The sequence below is a fragment of the Homo sapiens genome, chromosome 1 (genome assembly GCF_000001405.40).
Source record: "Homo sapiens chromosome 1, GRCh38.p14 Primary Assembly".
NCBI lineage: Eukaryota > Metazoa > Chordata > Mammalia > Primates > Hominidae > Homo > Homo sapiens.
Window position 1 is genome coordinate 40,005,271 of NC_000001.11, and position 7,922 is coordinate 40,013,192.

Genomic DNA, 7,922 nt, shown 5'->3' on the forward strand with positions numbered 1-7,922 from the left:
GGTTCTTTTTTTTTTTTCCAAATTGTCTTTTGACTCTGTGAATTTTCACATTTTCTTTCAATAAATTCCTTTATGTTCTTTTTTAAGTTAATCAGAGTTGGCTTCTGTTGCTTGTGGCCAAATAATTTTAATTAGTACTTAATCTCTTGGCATTAGCTCAATTAAGAGGGTCCCATTGCAAAGAGGACCCAAAAATGAGATAATATTTAGTGATTCAGTATTTTCAACAAATGCATATTGCAATTTTCTCCTCAGGCATAACTCCACAGTATCTGAATTGGAAAAGGTTTTAGAAAGGGTACCAGTAATTCCTGACACATTGTATTCAGGACCACTATCTGAGGTATGGCCTCACAGGTTTTGCACTACAAAAAACTCCTGGAAGTGAAACTTACACAGGTTATGGTGTGAATGGTGCTATTGGTACTGTGCAGTGAAGTGTCCTGTTACATTCAGTCCCTATTGCTGAATTTGGCTTTTTGTGCTAGCCTCATGCAGCTTCCTCCTCTTGAATTTTCTCTCAAACCCACAGTTGAGTTCCCTGCAATCAGTCAGGGCTGTACCAGCCCATCAGATCAATTTGTATGTGTCTGAATCAGATGGTGGACAGAGATCAAGACTTTGTTTCTCAAGAAGTTCCTAGAAAATCAGTGGATATACTGAATGTAGAAAATCAGTGGATACACTGAATGTTTGTGTACTTCCCAAATTCATATGTTGAAACGGTAACCCACAGTGGCGGTATATGGAGATGAGGCCTCTAAGGAAGTAACTAAGGTTAAATGAAGTCATAAGTATGGGGCCCTATCTGATAGGATTAGTGTCCTTATAAGAGACACTAGAGGACTACCTCCACCCCTATTCATTCATGCATCGAGGAATGGCCATGTAAGAACATAAAGGTGGTTGTCTGCAAGCCAGAAAATGAGCCCCTACCAGGAACAAAATTGGTTGGCACCTTGATCTCAGGGTTTCAAGCCTCTAGAACTATAGGACAATACCTTTCTGTTGTTTAAGCCGTTCATTCTGCATTATTTTCTTATGGCAGCTTAAGCAGGCTAGACAGATTTAAATAGATATGTAGAGGTGGAGAGAAGGGTATTATTGGATTCACTCATCAAAAGCACTGACTCTGAAGTTATGTTCAATCTAGCCATCTTGCTACATAAAGAAGTGGAAATTAATTGATTGGGCATTTGTCGAGGGAAGGATAGACAGATGAATAAAAGATATGGGACAGGAAAGAACTGAATTTTGCTGTATTTTATGTTTTCTTTAACATATAATCCATTAATATCTTGTTATTGAAGCAAGGTAATTATTACACCACCAGCACCACACACACATACATAAACACATGAGCGTTAAAGTCATTAGGAAAATGCAAATTAAAACCACAATGAAATGTCACCCCACACCCACTAGGATGGCTACAATTTAAAAAAAAAAAAACAGACAATAACAAGTGTTGGAGAGATTGTGGAGAAATTGAAACCCCCATACGTTGATGGTAGGGATGTAAAATGGTGCAGCCACTGTGGAAAATAGTTGGCACTTCCTCAAAATGTTAAACATAGAATTTCCATAAGGCCCATACGACCCAGTCATTCTTTATTATTATTTTATTATTCTTATTTTTTTGAGACAGAATTTCCCTCTGTCGCCCAGGCTGGAGCGCAGTGATGTGATCTCGGCTCACTGCAACCTCTGCCACCCAGAGGTTCAAGCAATTCTCATGCCTCAGCCCCCCATGTAGCCAGGATTTCAGGCAAGCACCACTATGCCCAGCTAATTTTAGTATTTTTAGTAGAGATGGGGTTTTGCATGTTGGCCAGGCTGGTCTTGAACGCTTGAGCTCAAGTGATCCGCCCACCTCGGCCCCCCAAAGGGTGGGATTACAGACATGAGCCACTGCCCCGGCCGTGACCCAGTCATTTTACTCCCAGGTGTATACTCAAGAAAATTGAAAACAAATGTTCATACAAAAGCTTATATACCATATTTGCAAACTATTCATCCAACAAGGGATTAATATCCAGAATATACGAGGAACTCAAACAACTCAACCATAAAAAATAAATAATCCCATTAAAAAGTGGGCTAAGGATATAAATAGATATTTCAAAAGAAGACATACAAATGACCAACAGGTATTTGAAATAAATGCTCAGCATCACTAAACATCAAGGAAATGCAAATCAAAACCACAATGAGATATCATTGTACCCAAAAAGGAACGATTGTCATCATGATTATGATTATTATTGTTATTCTAAGAGACAGGCTCTTGCTCCATTGCCCAGGCTAGAGTGCAATGGAATGACCATAGCTCACTGTAGCCTTTAACTCCTGAGTTCAAGCAATCCTCCCACCTCAGCCGCCCCAGTAGCTAGGACTACAGGCATGCACTACCACACCTGGCCAATATTTTAAAAATTTTTCTAGAGATGGGATCTTGCTATGTTGCCCAGCTGCTCTCCAACTTTTGGCCTCAAGTGATCCTCCTGCCTCAGCCTCCCAGAGCACTGGGATTACAGGCTTGAGCCACCTCACCCGGCTGAGACTCCATCTCTACAAAAACATTAAAAATTAGCCAGGTGTGCATATATACACCATGGAATACTATGCAGCCATAAAAAGGATGAGTTCATGTCCTTTGTAGGGATATGGATGAAGCTGGAAACCATCATTCTCAGCAAACTATCACAAGGACAAAAATCCAAACACCTCATGTTCTCACTCATAGGTGGGAATTGAACAATGAGAACACCTGGACACAGGAAGGGGAACATCACACACTGGGGCCTGTCGTGGGGTGGGGTGAGGGGGGAGGGATAGCATTAGGAGATATACCTAATGTAAATGACGAGTTAATGGGTGCAGCACACCAACATGGCACATGTATACATATGTAACAAACCTGCACATTGTGCACATGTACCCTAGAACTTAAAGTATAATAATAATAAAAAAAATTAGCCAGGTGTGGTGGCTCATGCCTGTAGTCCTAGCTACTTGGGAGGCTAAGGTGGGAGAATCACTTGAGCCAGGGAGGTCAAGGCTGCTGTGAGCTATGATTGTGCCACTGCACTTCAGCCTGGGTGACAGAGCGAGACCCTATCTCAAAAAATAAAATAAAATAAAAAGTAATAGCCATTCTCAGGCATGGTGGCTCACATCTGCAATCCCATGCTTTGAGCTATGATTGTGCCACTGCACTTCAGCCTGGGTGACAGAGCGAGACCCTATCTCAAAAAATAAAATAAAATAAAAAGTAATAGCCATTCTCAGGCATGGTGGCTCACATCTGCAATCCCATGCTTTGGGGGTCCGAAGCAGGAGGATTGCTTGAGGCCAAAAGTTGGAGAGCAGCTGGGCAACATAGCAAGATCCCATCTCTAGAAAAAAATTTTAAAATATTGGCCAGGTGTGGTGGTGCATGCCTGTAGTCCTAACTACTGCGGCGGCTGAGGTGGGAGGATTGCTTGAACTACAGTGAGCTATGGTCATGCCATTGTATTCTAGCCTGGGCAATGGAGCAAGAGCCTGTCTCTTAGAATAACAATAATAATCATAATCATGATGACAATCATTCCTTTTTGGATACAATGATATCTCATTGTGGTTTTGATTTGCATTTCCTTGATGTTTAGTGATGCTGAGCATTTATTTCATATACCTGTTGGTCATTTGTATGTCTTCTTTTGAAATAACTATTTATATCCTTAGCCCACTTTTTAATGGGATTATTTATTTTTTATGGTTGAGTTGTTTGAGTTCCTCGTATATTCTGGATATTAATCCCTTGTTGGATGAATAGTTTGCAAATATGGTATATAAGCTTTTGTATGAACATTTGTTTTCAATTTTCTTGAGTATACACCTGGGAGTAAAATGACTGGGTCACGGCCGGGGCAGTGGCTCATGTCTGTAATCCCACCCTTTGGGGGGCCGAGGTGGGCGGATCACTTGAGCTCAAGCATTCGAGACCAGCCTGGCCAACATGGCAAAACCCCATCTCTACTAAAAATACTAAAATTAGCTGGGCATGGTGGTGCTTGCCTGAAATCCTGGCTACGTGGGGGGCTGAGGCATGAAAATTGCTTGAACCTCTGGGTGGCAGAGGTTGCAGTGAGCCAAGACTGCACCACTGCACTCCAGCCTGGGTGACAGAGGGAAACTCTGTCTCAAAAAAATAAGAATAATAAAATAATAATAAAGAATGACTGGATCATATGGGCCTTATGGAAATTCTATGTTTAACTTTTTGAGGAAGTACCAAACTATTTTCCACAGTGGCTGCACCATTTTACATCCCTACCATCAACGTATGGGGGTTTCAATTTCTCCACAATCTCTCCAACACTTGTTATTGTCTGTTTTTTTTTTTTTAAATTGTAGCCATCCTAGTGGGTGTGGGGTGACATTTCATTGTGGTTTTAATTTGCATTTCCCTAATGACTTTAACGCTCGTGTGTTTATGTATGTGTGTGTGGTGCTGGTGGTGTAATAATTACCTTGCTTCAATAACAGGATATTAATGGATTATATGTTAAAGAAAACATAAAATACAGCAAAAGTCAGTTCTTTCCTGTCCCATATCTTTTATTCATCTGTCTATCCTTCCCTCAACAAATGCCCAATCAATTAATTTCCACTTCTTTATGTAACCAATATTTTTAAAATTTTTGTAGAGATGGGATCTTACTATGTTGCCCAGCTTCTCTTCAACTTTTGGCCTCAAGCGATCCTCCTGCCTCAACCTCCCAAAGCACTGGGATTACAGATGTGAGCCACCATGCCTGAGAATGGCTATTATTTTTTTTTTAATTACAAAAAAAAAGGTTTTTTTTGAAACAGAGTCTCCCTCTGTCTCCCAGGCTGGAGTGCAAAGGTGCAATCTCGGCTCACTGCAGTCTCCACCTCCTGGGCAATTGTCTTGCCTCAGCCTCCTGAGTAGCTGGGATTACAGGCGTGTGCCACCACACCTGGCTAATTTTTTGTATTTTTTAGTAGAGATGGGGTTTCACCATGTTGGTCATGCTGGTCTTGAACTCCTGACCTCATGATCCACCTGACCTCGTGATCCGCCTGCCTCGGCCTCCCAACATGCTGGGATTACAGGCGTGAGCCACCGTGCCCGGCTTTTTTATTTTATTTTATTTTTTGAGATAGGGTCTCGCTCTGTCACCCAGGCTGAAGTGCAGTGGCACAATCATGGCTCACAGCAGCCTTGACCTCCCTAGCTCAAGTGATTCTCCCACCTTAGCCTCCCAAATAGCTGAGACTACAGGTATGAGTCACCACACCTGGCTAATTTTTAATGTTTTTGTAGAGATGGAGTCTTGGCTGGGTGTGGTGGTTCACTCCTGTAATCCCAGCACTTTGGGAGGCCGAAGTGGGCAGATCACCTGAGGTCAGGTGTTCAAGACCAGCCTGGCCAACATGGTGAAACCCCATCTCTACTGAAAATACAAAAAATTAGCCGAGTGTTGTGGCACGTACCTGTAATCCCAGCTACTTGGGAGGCCAAGGCAGGAGAATTGCTTGAACCTGAGAGACGGAAGTTGCAGTAAATTGAGATCACACCATTGCACACCAGGCTGGATGACAGAGTGAGACTCTGTCTCAAAACAACAACAAGAAAAGAGATGGAGTGGCACTGTGTCACCCAGGCTGGTCTCAAAATCCTGGGCTCAGGTGATTCTCTCACCTCAGCCTCCAAATATGCTGGGATTATAGACATTATCCACCTCGTCTGACCCATAATGACTACTATAAAAAGATAAAAGCAACAGATGCTGGCCAAAATAAAGAGAAAAGGGATCTCTTATACACCGTTGGTGGGAATGTAAATTAGTACCACAGTTAATGAAAACAGTATGGAAATTTCTCAAAAAGCTAAAAATATAACTACCATATAATCCAGCAATCACACTACTGGGTATTTATCCAAAGGAAAAGAAATCAGTATATCAAAGGGATACCTGCACTTGCATACTTATTGCAGGACTACTCACAATAGCCAAGATACAGAATCAACCTAGGTGTCCATCAATGGACTAACGGATAAAAAAAATGGCATATATACAAAATGGAATACTATACGGCCATAAAAAAGAATAAAATTGTGTCATTTGCAGGAACATGGGTGGAACTGGAGGTTATTATGTTAAATGAAAGAGACCAGGCATGGAAAGATAGATGCCACATGCTCTCGCTCATATGTGGGAGCTAAAAAATTGGTCTCATAGAGATAGAGAATAGAATGATAGATACTAGAGGCTGGGAGGAGTATGTGGGTGGGAAGGGGGAATAAAGAGATATTGATTAGTGGGTACAAACACACAGTTAGATAGAACAAATAAGTCCCAATATTTAATAGCAGAGTAGGGTGACTGTAGTTAGCAACACTGTATAGTGTATCTCAAAGTAGTTAGAAGAGAGGACTTGAAATGTTATCAACACATAGAAATGATAAATGATAAAAGTCAAAGTGATACATGCCTCCAATACCTTGCCTTGATCATTACATGTTCTTTTTTTTTTTTTTTTTTTTTTTTTGAGATGGAGTCTTGCTCTGTCGCCCAGGCTGGAATGCAGTGTCACGATCTTGGTTCATTGCAACCTCCACCTCCCGGTTGCAAGCGATTCTCCTGCCTCAGCCTCCCCAGTAGCTGGGACTACAGGCGCGTGCCACCACGCCCGGCTAATCAAAACATGTTCTATTTATGTAACAAATACATGTACCCCATAAATACATAAAATATTTTGTATCAATAAAAAGCAAACGATCTTTTTTTTTTTAAATTTTATTTGAGATGGAGTCTGGCTCTGTCGCCCAGGCTGGAGTGCAGTGGCGAGATCTCGGCTCACTGCAAGCTCCGCCTCCCAAGTTCACGCCATTCTCCAGCCTCAGCCTCTCGAGTAGCTGGGACTACAGGCGCCCGCCACCACGCCCGACTCATTTTTTGCATTTTTAGTAGAGACGAGGTTTCACTGTGTTAGTCAGGATGGTCTCGATCTCCTGGCCTCGTCATCCACCCGCCTTGGCCTCCCAAAGTGCTGGGATTACAGGCCTGAGCCACCGCGCCTGGCCTACGATCATTTAAAAAAAAAAAAAAAAAGTCTTGTTAAGAATGTTCAGGTCCCGTGTAGTGGCTCACGCCTGTAATCCCAGCACTTTGACAGGCCGAGGAGGGCGGATCACCTGAGGTCAGGAGTTCAAGACAAGCCCGGCCAACATGGTGAAACCCCGTCTCTACTAAAAATTCAAAAATTAGCCAGGTATGGTGGTATGTGCCTGTAATCCCAGCTACTTGGGAGACTGAGGCAGGAGAATTGCTGGAACCTGGGAGAGGGAGGTTGCAGTGAGCCAAGATTGTGCCACTGCACTGCAGCCTGGGCAACAGCGAGATTCCATCTCAAAAAAAAAAAAAAAAAAAAAGAATGTTCATAGCAGGTTGGGTGCAGTGGCTCACCCCTGTAATTCTAGCACTTTAGGAGGCAGAGGTATGCAGATAACATAGGCCCAGGAGTTCAAACCAGCCTGGCCAACATGGCGAAACCCTGTCTCTACTAAAACTACAAAAATTAGCCAGGCGTGCTGGTGCAAGCCTTTAATCTCAGTTACTCAGGAGGCTGAGGCATGAGAATCACATGAGCCTGGGAGGTGGAGGTTACAGTGAGCCAAGATTGCACCACTGCACTCCAGCCTGGGCAGCAAAGCAAGACTCTGTCTCAAAGAAAATTAAAAATTACGTTAAAAAAAGTTCATAGCAGCATTATTCATAAAACAACCCAAATGTCTATCAACTGATAAATGGATAAACAAAATGTGGTATATTCACAAATAAAATATTATACAGCCAAAAAGAGAGTACTGATATATGCTGCACCATGGACGAACCTTGAAGACATTA

General features: G+C 42.3%; 1 annotated feature.

The window, feature by feature from the left end:
- Positions 366-425: a silencer, noted in NCBI's record as "silent region_718". NCBI's record gives its function as "represses an Ori minimal core promoter by ATAC-STARR-seq in GM12878 lymphoblastoid cells {active_cell/tissue: GM12878}" and the evidence as "EXISTENCE:reporter gene assay evidence [ECO:0000049][PMID:35858748]".